Raw genomic sequence first — 20,757 nt, 5'->3', positions numbered from 1 at the left:
TTCATTTTTAATCAAAGCTTATACAGATTAAAAGCAGATGAAAGAATTTTAATGAAACGCTTCACAGAGGCATGAAGCTCTAATGGGAACCATTTATACTGAGTGGCCAGGATATCTCTCCCAGTGTCTAGCAGAATATCCACAGCTATTCCCTGAGAAGAGATTAACAACTTTTAGGCATTTTATTAACTTTTAAAAGGTATCATATTTTAAATTGAGACTCTTTTTTAAGTTAATGAAGACTGGGGATCTTCAGAAAACAGAAAATATGCAAGAGAAAATGAAGTGGGTTGCGAAGATATGTTGGAAGAAAGAAAAGCCCAGGACTTGAGGGTAGGACTCTTAATGAGCACTGGAACACATGGTCCTTGTAAAAGTCAAACTAGAGCTTAAAGGAAATATCCTATCAGGGTGATATAGTTTGGATTTGTGTCCTGCCCAAATCTCATGTTGAATTGTAATCCCCAATGTTAGAGGTGAGGGCTGGTGGGAGGTGACTGGATCATGGGGGTGGATTTCTCATGAATGGTCCAGTACCATGTCTTTGTTGCCGCTCTCATGATAGTGAGTGAGTTCTCAAATGATGTGGTCCTTTGAAAATGTATAGAAAATGTGTAGCACCTTCCCCAACCTTGCTCTTGCTTTTGCTTTCGCCATTTGACTGCTAGTTCCTGCTTGGCCTTGTGCCATGATTGTAAGCCTCCAGAGGCCTCCCCAAAGGCAGATGCTGGTTTTATGCTTCCTGTACAGCCTGCAAAACCATAAGCCAATTAAACCCCCTTTCTTATAAATTACTCAGACTCAGGTATTTCTTCACAGCAATGCAAGAATGGCCTAATACACAAAGTAACCATTGCTTAGGGTAGCAATAATGTCTAGCTGTAGGAGTGAGCTGCCTGGAAGTGAAGGGAAAAATTAGTTCTTTCAGAAACTGAGCTTCTCTTCTGGATAAAGAAGCAGTGGCTCCCACAGGCATGTCAGAGGTAGACATGAATCAGGTAAAACTTTCTGATTCACTGTGGAGCAAACCTATCTAGATGGCCTCCATCTGTGTCATTTAATTTATAGGCCTTTCCATTTATTCTCAACTCCAAAGAGGTCTCACTGTGCGCAGGCTAAAGCAACTCCATCTTTGATGCTAATCTGCCATGTTGACTTCTGATCAACCCAGTTCTGGGAATGCCTCTAAGATTTCCCATTTATCTATTATTCCTTGTTTAAGAGCAGGTACTTACCATAAATCCTGCCATTAGGTCAAAACAACCTTGATGCTATCGTACTTCAGTTGTCCTACATATCCCTTCTAAATCACGTATGCCCTTTCCCTATGATATATAAGCCCTGGGTCTGGAAGATAACGGTGCAGGGAGTCACCTTGTCTTGCAACCTCCCCAGGCACACACGGCTTCTGATCATTAGTCCCTATTAAATGTTTCTTTCTAAATTCAACTTGCAGCCTCTTTCTTCAGCCTTTCAGCTTCCTCAGACTTTTGGGGGTACATTTGCATAAACCAGCACAGCACAAAACACATTAGTATCAGAAACTTATTTCAAAACACAGTTCTCATATTCTCATATTTGAGTTGCCTCCTATAAGCGAAATAAGAGCAATAGGTTTCTTCAAGACTTCCATCTTTCCAGGCATCTGCTCAGCCACAGAGTTAGAATTAGGTTGTAGTTATAGGAAACGGAAGTAGCAACTTTTCAAAATTCTCTATACCTTAGTGTAATTCATTTCACAAAAGTAGGTTCGATTCATATAGTATAAAATAGTACTATTTCTCCAAAATCTACTTCCCTACTGGAAAAAAATGCCAATTGTATTATAATGTAGAAAATTAGACTCCCCAATTCTTTCTTGTTTTAAGCCTTTTTTCAACTGTGAAATAAAATTCAATACAAAAATAGAGCATATAACTTGGAAATATTAGTTTTATGCTAGAGCTGGCCCATACTGGCTTCTGAAAACCAACTCCCCACATTCCTTCCCAACACCTCATTCAGTGATGTCACATAGGTAGCTTGAAATTAGCCATAGTGGGAATATTTACATCATGGAAATTGACAAATGCTGAAAATCAGGGCTTATTTTCAGAGTTAGCTTACTGGCATGCCACTGAGTATAAAGAGTAATGTTAAAGAAAATACCTGTGTAAGTAAAACTTTTATCAATAAATGGGTGATCAACAACCTCTGACAATTAGTCAACTAAAACACCCTTTAGACTGGGCACAGTGGCTCATACCTGTAATCTTAACACTTTGGGAAGCCGAGGTGGGAGGATCACTTGAACTCAGGAGTTCGAGACCAGCCTGGGCAACATAGTGAGACCTTGTCTCTACTTATATTTTAAAATAAATTTTAAAAAACACCCTTTATATAGACTGCTAATTGCTTTTAGAGCAAAGAGCATTCCTGCTAGAAGTTGAGGAATTCAATCCTCAACTGGTGTATTAGTTTGTTTTCACATGGCTGATAAAGACATACCTGAAACTGGGAACAAAAAGAGGTTTAATTGGACTTACAGTTCCACACACGTGGGGAGGCCCCAGAATCATGGTGGGAGACAAAAGGCAATTCTTAGAAGGCAGAGGCAAGAGGAAATGAGAAAGAAGCAAAAACAGAAACTCCTGATAAACCTATTAGATCTCATGAGACTTATTCACTAGCATGAGAATAGCACAGGATAATCTGGTCCCCATGATTCAATTACCTCCCCCTGGGTTCCTCCCACAACACGTGGGAATTCTGGAAGATACAATTCAAGTTGAGATGTGGGTGAGGACACAGCCAATCCATATCAATCCTTCCCTGGCCCCTCCAAATCTCATGTCCTCACATTTCAAAACAAATCATGCCTTCCCAACAGTCCCCCAAAATCTTAACTCATTTCAGCATTAACCCAAAAGTCCACAGTCCAGAGTCTTATCTGAGACAAGGCAAGTCCCTTCTACATATGAGCCTGTAAAATCAAAAGCAAGCTAGTTACTTCCTAGACACAATGGGGGTACAGGTATTGGGGTATAGGTATTGGTTAAATACAGCCATTCCAAAAGGGAGAAATTGGCCAAAACAAAGGGCTTACAGGGTCCATGCAAGTCCAAAATCCAGCAGGGTAGTCAAATTTTAAAGCTCCAAAATGATCTCCTTTAACTCCAGGTCTCATATCCAGTTCACGCTGATGTAAGAGGTGGGTGCACACAGTCTTAGGCAGCCCCGCCCCTGTGGCTTTGTAGGGTATGCCTCTCTCCTGGCTGCTGCCATGGGCTGGCTTTGAGTGTCTGTGGCTTTTCCAGGCACACAGTGCAAGCTGTTGGTGGATCTACCATTCTGGGGTCTGGAGGATGGTGGTCCTCTTCTCACAGCTCCACTAGGTGGTGCCCCAGTAGGGACTCAGTGTGGGGGCTCTGACCCCACATTTCCCTTCCACACTGCCCTAGTAGAGTTATCCATGAGGGCCCCGCCATGGAAGCAATCTTTGCCTGGGCATCCAGGCATTTCCATGCATCCTCTAAAATCTAGGCAGAGGTTCCCAAACCTCAGTTCTTGACTTCTGTGCACGTGCAGGCTCAACACCACATGAAAGCTGCCAAGGCTTGGGGCTTATACCCTCTGAAGCCACAGCCCACATTGTACATTGGCCCCTTTCAGCTATGGCTGGGACACAGGGCACCCCGTGCACACAATATGGGAACCCTGGACCTGGCCCATGAAATTACATTTTCCTCCTGGGCCTCTAGGCCTGTGATGGGAGGGGCTGTCATGAAAGTCTCTGACATAGCCTGGAGACATTTTGCCCATGGTCTTGGGGATTAACATTAGGTTCCTGGCTACTTATGCAAATTTCTACAGCCAGCTTGAATGTCTCCCCAGAAAATGGGTTTTTCTTTTCTATTGCAAAGTCAGGCTGCAAATTTTCCAAACTTTTATGCTCTACTCCCCTTATAAAAAACAGAATGCCTTTAACAGTACCCAAGTCACCTCTTGAATGCTTTGCTGCTTAGAAATTTCTTCTGCCAGATACACTAAATCATCTTTCTCAAGTTCAAAGTTCCACAAATCTCTAGGGCAGGGATAAAATGCTGCCAGTCTCTTTGCTAAAATATAACAAGAGTCACCTCTGCTCCAGTTCCCAACAAGTTCCTCATCTCCATCTGAGATCACCTCGGTCTGGACCTTATTGTTCATATCACTATCGGTATTTTTGTCAAAGCCATTCAACAAGTTTCTAGGAAGTTTCAAACTTTCACACATTTTCCTGTCTTCTTCTGAGGCCTCCAAATTGTTCCAACCTCTACGTGTTACCCAGTTCCAAAGTTGCTTCAACATTTTGAGGTATCTTTTTGGCAACACCCCACTCTCAGTAACAATTTACTGTATTAGTTTTCACACTGCTGATAAAGACATACCCAAAACTGGGAACAAAAAGAGGTTTAATTGGACTTACATCTCCACATGGCTGGAGAGGCCTCAGAACCATGGCAGGAGGTGAAAGACATTTCTTATATGGCAGAGGCAAGAGAAAATGAGGAAGAACCAAAAGCAGAACCCCCTGATAAACCCATCAGATCTTGTGAGACTTATTCACTAGCATGAGAATAGCACAGGAAAAGCTGGCCCCTGTGATTCCATTACCTCCCCCTGGGTCCCTCCCACAACATGTGGGAATTCTGGGAGATACAATTCAAGTTGAGATTTTGGTGAGGATATAGCCAAACCATATTAATTGGTTATCCTAGAACAAAAGTTGAAAACATTTTCTGTTACGGGCTAAATAGTAAATATTCTAGATATAGATCATATCATACTCACACATTCTTGTTCTTGCTTTATAAATAACTCTTTTAAAATGTAAAAATCATGCTTAGAACATGAGCCACAAAAACAAGCCACAGGTTAGATTTGGCCCATGGGCGAGAGTTTGCTGAGCCCTGCTCTAGAAGCACATACCAATTTTCATCCTTGATTAACCAGCGCATTCATTTCTCCAAGAATAGTTTCAAATGGTGTTGGTTTTCATCAGGCCCCTCTACCCATCTCTTCCTCCTTCTTACTGTATAGGACCTCAAAGTTTAATATCCTGAAAACTTGAAAACTATAAGATTTGAACTTCCTGGACTTCCTGACCCTTCATCCCCCTCAAAAAGCCATGGATGCTGTTCTCTTCAGTCTCAGAGGACAAAGTGCACTTATATCCATTTGTTTTTTTGGCTCCATCCCCAACCTCCATCTCTGGTATTTACTCCAACTATTATCTTCTCTCCCTCTCCTGAATCTGCAAGTTCTTTATCTTGGTTTCCACTAATACCCTAAAAACCATTAATTGTACACACAGACACATATTCTCTCTCTCTGTTGCTTTCTCTCTCTCTCTCTCTCTCTCTCTCTCTCACTGTTTCTCTGTGTCTCTCTGATACATGCACAGAAGAAACTAAAGGAAATCAGACCAAAATGATGAAAAAATTCCAAATTTCCCCACTAATTGCTGCCCCTTTTCACATCTTCTCTTCCATCATAACTTTTTGCAGGACGTACTCCTCCTTTCTCTACTCCTCATCTCTCTTCACTGCTGTCCATTCCTTCTTCCGTCCACTGCATACCAGCTTCTGCTTCCAGTAGTCTCTAAAAATTATTCTTTAATTATTCTTAAAATTATTCTTTATAAAGTAACTATACACATCCTGATTATCAAGTCAAATTGCATCTTTTCTCTTCTATTGCAAATATACACCCTTTATATTTCATTTTATCAAATGAAGACATGTTTAGCATTAAAAAATAGGGAAAAATAAAATAAGCCCCCAGTCACAGACAACTAATGACAATAACTTATTCAGTGTTCTTTCAAATAATATTGTATGCATATGATATGGTTTGGCTCTGTGTCCCCAACCAAATCTCATCTCAAATTGTAATTTCCACTTGTTGAGGGAGAAACCTGTAATCCTTATACGTTGGCAAAGGGAGGTGATTGGATCATGGGGGCAGTGTTCCACATGCTGTTCTCATGATAGTGAGTTCTCACAAGATCTGATGGTTTTATAAGAGGCTCATCCCCCTTCACTTTCATTCTCTCTCCTGCCATCTTGTGAAGAAGGTGCCTGCTTCTCCTTCTGCCATAATTGTAAGTTTCCTGAGGCCTCTTCAGCCATGTAGGACTGTGAATCAATTAAACCACTTTCCTTTATAAATTACCCAGTCTCAGGCATTTCTTTATAGCAGTGTGAAAACAGACTAACAGCAAATTGATACTGGGAGTTTGGGGCACTGCTATAAAGATACTTGAAAATGTGGAAATGACTTTGAAACTGGGTAACAGGCAGAGGTTGGAACAGTTTGGAGGGCTCAGAAGAAGATAGGAAGATGTGGGAAAGTTTGGAAATTCCTAGAGACTTGTTGAATAGCTTTGACTAAAATGATGATAGTGATATGGACAATGAAGCCCAGGCTGACGTGGTCTCAGATGGAGATGAGAAACTTGAGCAACTGGGAACTGGAGCAAAGGTCACTCTTGCTATGCTTTAGTAAAGAGACTGATGGCATCTCTAGGGCAGATCTGTGGATCTTTGAACTTGAGAGAGATTATCTGAAATTGAAACTTATGTTTAAAAGGGAAGCAGAGCATAAAAACTTGAAAATTTTGCAGGCTGACTATGTGGTAGAAAAGAAAAACCCATTTTCTGGGAAGAAATTCAAACCAGCTGCAGACATTTGCATAAGTAACAAGGAGCTGAATGCTATTCACCAAGACAATGGGGAAAATGTCTCCAGGGCATGTCAGAGGTATTCATGGCAGCCCCTCCCATCAAAGGTCCAGAGACCTAGGAGGAAAAATGGTTTCCTGGGCCAGGCTCATGGTCCCTGCTGCTCTGTGCAGCCTCAGGACATGGCATCCTGCGTCCCAGCCGTTTCAGCTCCAGTGGTGGCTATAAGGGACCAAAGGCTGTTGCTTCAGAGGGTGCAAGCCCCAAGTCTTGGTGGCTTCCATGTGGTGTTGGGCCTGTGGGTGCACATAAGTCAAGAATTGAAGTTTGGGAAACTCCACCTAGATTTCAGAGGATGTATGGAAATGCCTGAATGTCCAGGCAGAAGTCTGCTACACGGGTGGAGCCCTCATGGAGAGCCTATGCTAGGGCAGTGCAAAGGGGAAATGCAGGGTTGGCTCCCACAGCCTCAGGTATCCCTCCTTCATGGCTGGCATTGAGTGTCTGTGGCTTTTCCAGGAGCACAGTTCAAGCTGTCAGTAGATCTACCATTCTGGGATCTGAATGATGGTGGCCTTCTTCTCATAATGCCACTAGGCAGTGCTCCAGTGGGAACTGTGTGTGGAGGCTCCAACCCTACATTTCCCTTTTGCACTGCCCTCGCAGAGGTTCTCCATGAGGAGTCTCTGCTTTGTTTCAGGCTCTATTCATTTCTGTCCTTGCCTCCAGGCATGGGCCATGTCAACTCTGTCCCCATGTTGCCTCCAAGAGTGATTGGTAAAATAAAAATGCAAACTTGCTTAGGATCATAATCTACTGACAAGATTCCTGTAGCATAGAAGTCCCTACCCCTGATTCCTGACTTCTCTGTAACCCAGACTTCTAGCTTCATTCCCTTTATTATTTGCTTCACCCTTCATGCACCAATAATATGACATGTGATCTGAGAGATCAAAATAGACACCCCTTTATCAACTAGGATGGACCTTAAGGTTAAGGAAACAAAGGTTACCTAGGAGTTGAGATTTCAAGGCCCAGCTGACATGGCAACTTCCTAAATTCCTATGGCTACAAGAAAATCCATACACTTGCTAAACTCTCTAGGAATAAGGGCTATCAGGAAAATTATCATACTCCCTCCCTAACTCTGAATTACAACCCAGACCACTAAAGTAACAGGACCAGCCTTACAAACATTCTTTTGTGATAAGCAACTGCAGACTTTAAGCCAGTTTCAGCCAACTTATAGAGATTGTGAATAAACTGTCTTTATATCCTATGATTCACCTTTTGACATAGTGATATTCCACTTCATTTTAATGCTAAAACCACACCCCAAAGTGAACATAGGATATATGTTACATATATCTTTGCCCATTGTGCATGTACTCAACTGCCCACATAAATATGTATGGTTTTCCCCCAAATCTACTGAATATGTATGACATCTTTGTAATACAGACCCTGTAGGGCATAAAACCCAACTCGCCCTTTCCCTCTTCAAAAAGAGCACTTTTAGTTCATACCAGACTATCTCTTACTGGTTTGCAAACTGGTATCAGCAATAAAACTATCCTTTTTACTATTTAGTCATCCTTTTGGCCTTTTCAATGATAAAACTTCCTCTTTCTTTGAAATACATCCTTACACACATGCTTCTCTCTTCCAGGAATATCTGTCTCCACGACACATCTTGACTCTCCTCCTACTGTACCTTGACCTTTGGATACTTCCAAATTTGATTTGGATAACTTTTCTATCAAGTTGTCCCTAAACCCCTTTGGAGATTCTTCTATGACTCCTCAGCTCTTTTAAAGTACTTTGTACAAGACTTTGAAACTATGATTTCCAAACCTGTCTCCACTACTAAAATGTAAGCTTGAAGTCTAGTTCCACGTGTTAGTCATCTTTGCATTCCTGCATACATTCAATGAATGTGGGAATGAATGAACAAGTAATTGCCACATTATCCATCTCTATTTTCTCTCATGCATAGTTATTCTATCACTCCTTAGTCTGTTTGTCAGAAAAGACTTCTTGGGTACATTCCTGACTGACTCACTAAAAAAGTCCTTTGCTATTTTTTTCTCTTGGCTGAGTGCAGGTTGCTATTAGCAGTCACAGAGCATAAATATCTGTCCTCTGTTCCCCCAGCAGCTGGGCTCTCTTTTCCTTGGAAAGGCTCCAGCCAGTGTTTTCATATGAACTGAAATCCATGGACCAATGTCTGGATGGCCTAAAGATACTCATCCCACCACTACCTCACATCACAGGGAGCTGTCAGAAGCAGCAAAAGCATTAGACCCAGAGAACACTGGAAACCCTGCCACCCTGGGAATAGTGCCTCACGAAGTAGAAGGTTTTGTTGGCCAATTGCATGAAATAAAAAACTGCTGGTCTTTAGCTTTTAGGATGTTTATTTATTTGTTTACGTGCTTACTTAGCTATCTATTTATTTTTAAGCATCACAGTCAAAGCCAAAGATCCCAGCAAACAAGTCAAATCTACTAACAGCCAAACCCATGTCATCTTATCCCAAAGGCTCACATTTTAAAAAGCAGAAGGCTTGTTTAAGTGAAGAAAGCCTGACTAGGGGGAGGTCTCAGAAAAGAGGGATCAGGATGAAATGGAACCAGAGGTAGCCCTCTTCAAGCAAACCATAACCAAGTTATGTGCTAATCTTTGTGCCAAGTCCTAGGGAGTGCAAGAGCAAAGTGGCTCTGCCCTCAGGAAACTCAAGGTCCAGAGGAGATAAATAAAAACAGATCATAGCATATAAGTGTGTTCAGAGAAAAGTATAGAAGCACAAAGAGAGGGGATGCAAATCTACCCCAGAAGAGGACAGCAACAGAGAAATAATCTTGGAGGAAATGGTATTTGAGCTGAAGCTGAAGAGAAAAGTAAATATGGCTTGCTGAAGAGGGAAGCAGTGGAAGGAGCTGATGGTGAGACTTCAGGGCATGAGGACAACATAAGCAAAAGCATGGAAAGGGGGAACCTCGAGGGAGTGCGGTGCATAAAGAAAGTCATAAGCAATGGTACTGGAGACCCAATAAACGGCCAGATCCTGGAGCACTTTCTCTGAAGTTCTATGGAGGCACTGAATACCCGAAACAAGTGAATGTCAGGCTTTCACTTTAGAGCCACTACACTTATAGTGAAGGCTGATTGGCAGAATGGAGAAGCGAATCAATAGTGTGTGTTCCTTGCTTCTCCTGGGCACCAAGCTAGCCTACTTTTTCCAGCTCCCTTGTAGTTAGCTGTAGAATATAGAAAGATAATGTATGTCACTTCCATGATTTGCATTAGAAACCTGCCCCATGATCTTTTACAGGCTCTTTCTGCTTCCGCAGTGACCTTAAAAGTCAGTGTTGAAGATGGTAGAATGACAGGATGGAAAGCGTCTGCATTCCCAGAACATCACATGAAACTATTCGCTGAGTGAGAATATATTGACGTTGTATCAAGCCACAGAGATTTTGGCCATGAAACTCTCCTAAACATAAATTTATGACAGTCCAGACAGCCATAAGCTCAATAAGGGCAGAGGCTGTCCTCTTTTTTTTTCTAACACAGGGCAGGAATGAAATATCTTAAATGGATAAACCAATAATCTGGTCAGAGATGTTGAGAGAGTGAACTAGAAGATATTGATAGGAGTGAAGATATAAACTAGACTCAAAACATATCTTAGAGGAAAAATTAGCAAGATTTGATAACTAATCAGTTATGAACAATAAGGAAGAAAGAGGAATCTAGAAGGGTTCCAGTTTGGAAGGATAGGTAAGTTATGGTACCACCACCTAACACACAGCATGCAGCCGAAAGGTCACATTTGAAGAGGGAGGTGTGGTCCACTTAGATACATTGAGTTTAACATGGCATTGGGATAGCCAAGTGGAGATACGCTTTGGGCATGTTGTAAAAACACATAAAAGGTGTGGATGGAAATACACTCATTTGAGTTAGCTGCGTAGGGGTGATAAATGAGGAGGGTGAATGAGGTTGAATGGAGAGAGCACTTGAAAGAACAAAGGCAAAGGATCAATCACGAACCATAGGAACAGCATTAAGAGTGGCAAGGAAGAAAGATAAACTCCTGAATGAGGCCTACAGGAAGTGATGCAAAGGGCATCCAAAGAGGATGGAGGGCCAGCACCCAGAAAGGAGGTGAGCAGGGAGTCAGAAGAATGACAGCGTAATCAACAGGGTTACAACTACCAGAGAAATTTTGTAACATGAAGACTGGAAAACTGCTCATTCCATTTGGCAATTTGGAAATCACCTGGTGACCAGTGTGAGATAAGTTTCAGAAGTATAGGTGCGATTTTATAATTAGTTTGAGGAGTAGAAAGAAGATGAGCAAGTAGAGACAGTGAGCACTAACTGACATATGAGTTAAAAAGAAATTATTTAGGCAGGTAGTGAGGGTAAGGAAGCCCTCAGTAAGGTTTTCCTTTTAATGAAAAGCAGCCCCCAAATCATTTTCTTTTCTAGCAAAGAGCAGACTGTAAAATCGAGTTGCAGACATAGACAAGCAACCTGGAAGCTTGCATGGCTGAATGCTGGCAGTTGTGGCAATAGGAAAAGGCTATCTGGGACTAGGGATGTTCAAAATGGTGGCTCTGTCTTCCCTTTTCCTTTCAAACCACGTGTGCGGTAGGGAGCAGACAACATGGCACCTGCCAAGTGGAAAGCCTATCTGCATAATAAGATTAGGGTGGGGCAGCCAGCTTCCTGGTATGTTATGTAAACATCACACCTGGTCCAACCAGTCTTTGGGCCCTATGTAAGTCAGATACCACCTCCTCAAGCCTGTCTATAAAATCTGATGCACTCGGCAGTGGGCCAGAAGTCCCATTTGGGCACCCCTCTCTCTTACAAGAGAGAGAACTGTTCTCCTTTTTCTTTCTTTTGCCTGTTAAATCTCCACTCCTAAACCCACTTCTTGTTGTGTCTGTGCCCTCAGTGCCCTTGGTGTAAGACAATGAACCTCGGGTATTTACCCCAGACAACGATGCCGCTTCACAACTACTCTTTCAAACATTGTATGAAGGAGGAAGAAGGAAAACCAATGATGTCTGGAGTTAATCTCAAGGGAAGAGATTTTGTGGGGGTTTTTTTGTTAACATTAGTTAGAGCAGTGATGTCCAGTATGGTAGCCACTTGTCCTGTGGCTACTGACCAGTTGAAATGTGGCTAGTTCCAAAACGAGAGGTGCTGTGAATTAAAATTTACACTAGAGTTTGAAGACTTAGAATGAGAGAAAAAGAATATAAAATATCTCGAAAATTTTTTATATGGAATACAATGAAACATAATAATTGGATATATTGGGTTAAATACAACATTTTATTCCAATTGTTTTCACGTTTCCTTTTGCCTTTTTTAAATGTGCCTGTTTGAAAATACAAAACGTATACCTGGCAAACATTACTTTTCTACTGGAAAATGCTTAGCTGAAGCATGCTATAAGTGAATAAGTAGTACTAGCAATAATAATATCTATGGCAGGCAGAATTCTAAGATGGCCTTCAGGATTCACTTTTGTTGCATCTTTTCCTCTTTGAGTGTGAGTGGGCCTCCTGAGCATGAAGGGTTTTCACACCCTCAAATAGAATACTAACCAGGAGACTTTGAGTAAATCAGAATGGGGATTACTCTATATGGCTCTGACCTAATCAGGTGTGCCCTTTAAAGGAAGGTAAAGAATCAGACAGCTACTCCATCATGGCCTCAAAGAAGAAGCAGTAAATGACTATTGAGATGGGGGCAAACACTTGAAGGAATGGGTAAGAGCCCAGGCTCCTGGGAAGAAAAAAGTAATGTTTGAGGAAAGTATAGAAATGCTACAAAGTGAGGGCTCAAGGCACCAAAAACCCACTATGCCTACTTCGTCATGACTATGTGGCAATACAAGCCACTGTTGGAATCATTCTAACACGTCTGCCTTTCCAAGAGAGCAATATCATGCAGATTGCCACAGTTTATGATTGACTTTAAGATAAAATGTTACATTGAAAGGTTTGAAAAAAAGCCAGAAAAAGAGCATGGTACAGTTGTTACTGAAACAGAAATCATGTTTGCAAACTGAAGAGACTATCTAGTCTTTCCTGGTATTATTTGAGTTGTGTGTGTGTGTGTGTGTGTGTGTGTGTGTGTGTGTGTTCATTTAAGTCTCTAAAAGCTGGCAGTAGATAAGCTGAAATAACTATCATTTTGAGAGATATAAATGATTATTTGCTGTCAATCTCAACTAAAAAAATAATACTTCTAAAACATGTAGGATTTTTTTAGACCGTACAACCAAGATAAAGTGAATTCTCATCAGTGACTACATTAAAATTAGATCACTAAAAACTTTCAGCCTTTTGCATCAATGATTATGCCACTGGAAAGAAAGGTCCACAGTGTCAAAACATGGAATATTCCTTATGAAGGTACCTGGAGGAAAATCCCATCCCCTATGTCTTCCTAGTAATTAAAACAATGGGTAATAAAGTTACTATCATAGAAAAAGAGTTAACAAGCTGAAACTATTATAAGAGTCAAATAAAAATGAATTACATCCTGGTTCCAGTTGGAGGAAGTAGGAATGCCATTACATAGCTAAACTCTGGGCAACTAGACTGATAAACAATCATCAGCAAACAGTAAAGCTGCATTTGTATTCATGTGTACTGACCAGGGCAGGCATGTTGATAACTTGGTAGTAAACATGTTGTGCCTAAGACAATTCAATAATAAAGCTCAGATTCAGAAAATCATAGAAACTCAAGTCATTCCAAGAAAGTATAATTTTGCTCAGAAAAATAGTCAAAGAGCAATTCTTCCCTATGTAACCAACCATCCTCTTAACTCACATAAATCCCACCAGAATACCCTAAAACAGTAGAGTCCCTTAAAACCATTAAGTGAAGCCAAAAACAACCTTCTACTATATCTATAGGAGTTGACTATGACACTTCATTCTGGCCTCACTATGGAGTCACATATAGCTTTTCTGGCCCTTATTTTATCCCAAGAGTAATGTCCTATACCTGTATCTCTTCTACTCTGATGACCAAGGTCTGTCTTTATTGTTTTACTAGGCTGGCCTGCAAGTATTAAACATGGCCCCCATTAGCTTCTGATCATTGGACTCAGTTGTGAGGCTCCACCTGTGTTATGATCTGAATGTTGGTGTCCTCCCAAAACTCATAAGCTAAACTCTAATCCGCAATGTGATGGTGTTAGGAGGTGGAGCCTGGGAGGTAATTAGGACATGTGGGCTCCTTTCTCATGATTGGGATTACTGCCCTTATAAAAGAGGCCTCTGAGAGCTCCCTTGCCCCTTCCACCATGTGAGGACACAGCTAGGATATACAATCTGTGGAACCAAGAAACAGGTCCTCATCAGATACCAAAGGTGTCAGCACCTGGATTTTAGACCATCCACCCTCCAGAATTATAAGAAACAAATTTCTGTTGTTAATAAGTCACTCAGGCTACAGTATTTTGCTATAGCAGCCCAAACAGGGTAAGACAACCTGGAAGGCCACAGCCAGGTTTTCTTGGTCCACAGCTTGAACTCTGACACTTCTGCTACAAAAGTGGGCAACTACATAATTGAAATGCAGTCAAATCCCTATATTAAAAATTTGGGGGAACACAGCAAATACTATTTTACAAATTAAAAACAGTATAACAAGTGAAAGGCAGGTGTCACATTTTAAAGGACAAAAGTTGATTGACCATGTATTTGAAAATCTTTACAATGATCAGACACATTCTTCAATCATCCTTCTTTTAGTTCATGTTATTAGGTAAATTGAGAGACTATAAAGAGCCCTGAAGCTCTGCCCCAAATGGTAAGATTCATAAATACGAATATGTGCCTTTGCCATATGAAGAGAATCAGGCTCTTTTCATAAACATAATATAATCATAAGCCAAAAACTCACTTTACTCTTATTTTCTACAAAAGGAAATTTAACCAAACGTGGAGCTTCCTTGAATCCCATTCAGAGGGTTTTTACTAATGGCAAAGCATAAGATCCTGTGATAAGGTAGCTTAACTTCTGAAAGGGGTTCACTGCACAAAAATATAGAAGGGTCTAATGAAGAGCTGTGAAAAAACTAAAGCTGTACACACATACACACACACACACACACACACACAAAATACCAAATGTAAATATGTATAATTATAATTACATATATAAGCATATATATATATATAAACTTCTTTCAAAATATACCAAGACAATGTTTGCCTTTGATAAAAATAATGAAATTAGTAAGATTCTGCAATCTAAAATAAAAATAGAGATCCTAAAATATAATCCACTAGAATTTGCTAGTGTTCTAACTACTTTCCACTGAAAATTCTGTAGTATTCCATGGCAATAAAAGAAAATTTTGGTGAGGCCATGGCATTAATGTGCTTCTAAAGGAGCCCAATTTTTAAAATTGAGAAAAACTTAAGGGAACCAAAAAAATGTAGGAATACTTTTAACTCACTACTAAAACCATATAGTGTATACGTATGGCTGCATATATAAATGAATTTATTAAACCAAAATAATCATTTTATTGCCTACTCTTACAACAATAGCAGTTATTTAAAAGGTTTTACTTGAAATGTATCATTTTTAAACCTTCACACCTAGCAGAGGAAGGCGGCATAATCATGTCTTTCTGCTTTGGAGATGAGCGGACCAAGGCACATGGAGGGTAAATGATTTATCTGATTTATTATGAATTATGTCATAGATGGCAGAGAAAAACCATAACCTAGGCCCTCAGATTACAGAGATGTTGCTTTCATTAAAAAAAATAATCACTAGGCATTGTGCTAGGCTCTGAAAAGATTCTAAGAAGAATTTGGTCCAGTTACCATCCTTAAGAAGTTTAGAGACATCAAAAACTCACAGAGGCAATGGGTATGTTTATTAATTAGAAAGATGCAAAACAGTATGTTTCCAAAGAAAAGAATGAAGAAGCTACTATTAGGCACATATTTAAACTGGATAACAGAAACCATGTACAAGTGTTGGAGCCAAACAGCTATGAGGGGTTCTACAGCTCTTTCTACTCCATGTGATCAGTCTACCCAAGAATCTGTATAATATGCAAAATCAAGTTCCTTTCCAATCTCATGCCCTTAGAACTACTCAGCCTCTTGCAGAATTAGAATGAGGATGTTAGAAATGGGTTATTGGCACAAGTAATGAATGCTTCGGCTTTAATATTGGTTAGGAGTTTCAATTATAATCAAGTAAATGAACTTACTTCGAGAGAGATTCTCAAGGGCTTTCCCCAGCTTCTTGCTCTCCTGAAGGATGTGATTCAATTCATCAAAATCACGGCTTTGTGGTTTAGTCCTCCAGTTCCACTTTGGATGCTCTACTGACCTTGGCACTATGTTTAAAAAAAATGGTAATTTCATAAGCATGCTACATAATGACACAAACTGACTATTCATCATCACGTGAAAGACTGTACCAAGATCAATGTATAGAATAAAAAGTGTTTATCTTGAAGATGGTTTGCTTGTGAGAAAAAAGAGGGGAAGATATGAAGCCAGGCTTAAAGAAAATATTTTAACTGAAAAAGTAAAGGGAAGTGTGGTGGAGTTTATAGAAAAAAGAAAATTCAGGTATTAACTTAAAACTAATCATTTCTATAACACAGGGAGAAACACACAGGCAAAGTGTATTTTGTATTATGTCATCAGCCTAAAAAAAGCACTAACTCCCTCAACAGCAACTGGTAATTATTAAGTAAATATTTTTAGGACATTCATAGAAGGCTAAATATACGTATTTATCTTCATGTCCTCCTCAAATTCCCATTAAAATTACATTACAGTGAAGGGATTTTTTTCCTCAAAGAATTAGTTGAACAAGTGTAGAAGACATTATTAGGCAAGAAATAGCAATATATTTTGAGAGAAGATGCAAAATGGATGGATGAGTGGTAACTGGATTTTGCAAGGCAAAGAAAACTGAAACCTAAGTCTCTGAACAGAGGAATGCCAAGAAAATCAACATGTCACACTATTTAAATATTAAAGCTTCAATCCAGGAGAACAATGTCAAAGTAATAATAATATAAGAACTTAATTGCTTTTCAGATTTAAAGGGCCCATTAAATGTCGGGCACAGGTCGAGGCATATTTTTTTTAAAAAATGGTTTAATAGTGGCAATAAAGAAAACATTGTAAAACTTTTCAGGGGCAAAAATAGCAAATCAAATTGACACCAGACTTCTCAAAGGCAACACTTGGCCTAAGAAGACAAGAAGCAATTCCTTCTAAATTCCAACTATAGAGTACTTCTTAGAACTGTATACCCAACTAGGGAACAAATTAGGATACTTTGAAGGACTGAAAAATTTATCTTGCAAAAGCATTGTTTTTCAGAAAGCTCCTACTGGAGTTGCTCTACCAAAATGAACAAGTAAATCAAAAAATGGCAAGACTTGGATTTCAGGAAACAGGTGACCTCCCATTCTCCCAATATGGAAAAGGAACAGGGAATTCTCGGGAAGATAGTGAAAGACAGTCTCAAAAGGCAGTTGAGAAAAAGTCTAGAAACCAATGAGTCAAGCAGGGAGCAAGAGGACAGAGGGCTACAGAAGAGAAGTCTCTAAAAATTTTTAAAATAAAGGATAACTATAAAATAGAAGTTAAGTTTACTTGTCTCTGATCATATTGAGAAGGTTTAATTCTTTGGGCAGGGTTTGGCAAAGCATTAGTGATGGGTACATAGTAAACAAAGCAAACAGAAAAGCAAGAGAACTGTCAATTCTAGAATAGTTGGACATCTTATGGCTCAACCATGAACAATATTAATTAATTAGTCATAATAATACCAATGTAGAGTACATATTTAATCAACATTTGAAATAACTGCATTACTATAGGGCCAGGATGAGATGGGGGTTAGAGTTTGGAGCACAAGGTATGAAGGATGTCAAGAGATAATGCCTCAAATTTAAAAAGGAAGAGAACCTTATGTTTGATTGTGTAGATTTAGGAACCAGAAGCAACATCTAAAAGAGGTGAAAGTGATTGCAGGTTAGGAGCCGAGTTGGGTAGAAATCTCATAGTACTACTTAAACTTTTTTAAACCATGTACCATTATGTTTTGATAAAAATAAAATAAATTTTAAAAATATTTATATGGTAAGGACATAGGAAATAGTCTCCAACTAATGAAATATGTCATTCTGTCACCTTTTTAAAAAGTAATCTGGCAATATCTATTATGATGAAAAATGCACCGACCCTGTGACCTAGCAATCTTATGTCTGGTAAAGTCATCATAAAGAAATGAAAGCATCTATATATATATATATATATATATATATGTACAACGTTGTTTATTTTCACAGAAAGTGTAAGACTTTGTTTATTTTAGCAAATATTTCATGGCCGCAAAACCCTGTTAGTAATCTAAATGTCCTTCAACAAAGGAATGGCTGAATAAATTATCTCCCATTCACATTGTATACAATTATTTAAAAGGGCAAGTTAAATCTAAGTATATTACCATAAAGATACTTCCATGGTGCATTTTATTTTTATTTTTATTTCTACAAATATATAAGGTATACATGAAATTTTGTTACATGTATATAACACGTAGTGATCAAGTCACTGTATGGCTTGTGAACAATGTTAATTAATTAATCATAATAATATCAACATAGAGAACATATTTAATCAACACTTAGGGTGTGCATCTACTGAGTACAGTACACTCGTGTTAACTATAGTCACCCTACTCTTCTATCAAACATTGAGTTTATTCCTTCTATCTTACCGTATGCTTATGCTACCCTTTAGCCCACTTCTCTCATTTTCCCCCATGCCCCAATCACCCTTCCCAGTCACTGTTATCTATCTTTCAATCCCTTACCTCCATGTGATTAGTTTTATTGGCTCCCACATATAACTGAGGGCATGCAATATTAGTCTTTTTGTGCCTGGCTTATTTCACTTAAGATAATAACCTCCAGTTTCACCGTGTTGCTGAGAATGACATGATTTCATTGTTTTTTTTTTTAAATGACCAAATAGTATTTCATTGTGTATACGCACCAAATTTTCTTTTTTTATTAGAATTTCTTATTTTATTTTATTTTATTTTATTTTATTATACTTTAAGTTTTAGGGTACATGTGCACAATGTGCAGGTCAGTTACATATGTATACATGTGCCATGTTGGTGTGCTGCACCCATTAACTCGTCATTTAGCATTAGGTATATCTCCTAATGCTATCCCTCCCCCCTGCCCCCACCCCACAACAGGCCCCAGAGTGTGATGTTCCCCTTCCTGTGTCCATGTGTTCTCATTGTTCAATTCCCACCTATGAGTGAGAACATGCGGTGTTTGGTTTTTTGTCCTTGCGATAGTTTACTGAGAATGATGATTTCCAATTTCATCCGTGTCCCTACAAAGGACATGAACTCATCATTTTTTATGGCTGCATAGTATTCCATGGTGTGTATGTGCCACATTTTCTTAAACCAGTCTATCATTGTTGGACATTTGGGTTGGTTCCAAGACTTTGCTATTGTGAATAGTGCTGCAATAAACATACGTGTGCATGTGTCTTTATAGCAGTATGATTTATAGTCCTTTGGGTATATACCCAGTAATGGGATGGCTGGGTCAAATGGTATTTCTAGTTCTAGATCCCTGAGGAATCGCCACACTGACTTCCACAATGGTTGAACTAGTTTAGAGTCCCACCAACAGTGTAAAAGTGTTCCTATTTCTCCACATCCTCTCCAGCACCTGTTGTTTCCTGACTTTTTAATGATTGCCATTCTAACTGGTGTGAGATGGTATCTCATTGTAGTTTTGATTTGCATTTCTCTGATGGCCAGTGATGGTGAGCATTTTTTCATGTGTTTTTTGGCTGCATAATTGTCTTCTTTTGTGACGTGTCGGTTCATGTCCTTTGCCCACTTTTTGATGGAGTTGTTTGTTTTTTTCTTGTAAATTTGTTTGAGTTCATTGTAGATTCTGGATATTAGCCCTTTGTCAGATGAGCAGGTTGCGAAAATTTTCTCCCATTTTGTAGGTTGCCTGTTCACTCTGATGGTAGTTTCTTTTGCTGTGCAGAAGCTCTTTAGTTTAATTAGATCCCATTTGTCAATTTTGGCTTTTGTTGCCATTGCTTTTGGTGTTTTAGACATGAAGTCCTTGCACATGCCTATGTCCTGAATGGTATTGCCTAGGTTTTCTTCTAGGGTTTTTATGGTTTTAGGTCTAACATTTAAGTCTTTAATCCATCTTGAATTGATTTTTGTATAAGGTGTAAGGAAGGGATCCAGTTTCAGCTTTCTCCATATGGCTAGCCAGTTTTCCCAGCACCATTTATTAAATAGGGAATCCTTTCCCCATTGCTTGTTTTTCTCAGGTTTGTCAAAGATCAGATAGTTGTAGATATGCAGTGTTATTTCTGAGGGCTCTGTTCTGTTCCATTGATCAATATCTCTGTTTTGGTACCAGTACCATGCTGTTTTGGTTACTGTAGGCTTGTAGTATAGTTTGAAGTCAGGTAGCGTGATGCCTCCAGCTTTGTTCTTTTGGCTTAGGATTGACTTGGCGATGCGGGCTCTTTTTTGGTTCCATATGAACTTTAAAGTAGTTTTTTCCAATTCTGTGAAGAAAGTCATTGGTAGCTTGATGGGGATGGCATTGAATCTATAAATTACCTTGGGCAGTATGGCCATTTTCACGATCTTGATTCTTCCTACCCATGAGCATGGAATATTCTTCCATTTGTTTGTATCCTCTTTTATTTCATTGAGCAGTGGTTTGTAGTTCTCCTTGAAGAGGTCCTTCACATCCCTTGTAAGTTGGATTCCTAGGTATTTTATTCTCTTTGAAGCAAATATTCTCTTTGAATGGGAGTTCACTCATGATTTGGCTCTCGGTTTGTCTGTTATTGGTGTATAAGAATGCTTGTGATTTTTGTACATTGATTTTGTATCCTGAGACTTTGCTGAAGTTGCTTATCAGCTTAAGGAGATTTTGGGCTGAGACAATGGGG

The 20,757-nt window shown here is 39.4% G+C and overlaps 1 protein-coding gene across 13 annotated transcripts in view; it reads right to left on the bottom strand.

The window, feature by feature from the left end:
• Positions 1-20,757, bottom strand: part of C8orf34 (chromosome 8 open reading frame 34) — a 488,651-nt gene that overhangs the window by 334,226 nt on the left and 133,668 nt on the right. For 9 of the 13 annotated variants that reach the window (NR_146186.1, XM_047421328.1, NM_001349477.1 and 6 more), the window contains exon 4: positions 15,978-16,106. The exons of the other annotated variants lie outside the window; for them this stretch is intronic. Coding sequence is in view for 8 of the 9 variants with exons in the window: in XM_047421328.1 (XP_047277284.1) it covers positions 15,978-16,106 (129 nt within the window). In the remaining variant the exon portion in view is untranslated. The remainder of the gene's footprint in view (positions 1-15,977; positions 16,107-20,757) is intronic. 13 annotated transcript variants of the gene reach the window in all.

This window comes from Homo sapiens, chromosome 8 (genome assembly GCF_000001405.40).
Source record: "Homo sapiens chromosome 8, GRCh38.p14 Primary Assembly".
NCBI classification, from domain to species: Eukaryota; Metazoa; Chordata; class Mammalia; order Primates; family Hominidae; genus Homo; species Homo sapiens.
Note: the sequence above shows the minus strand (reverse complement) of the source record. Positions and strands in the feature narration are given on the sequence as shown.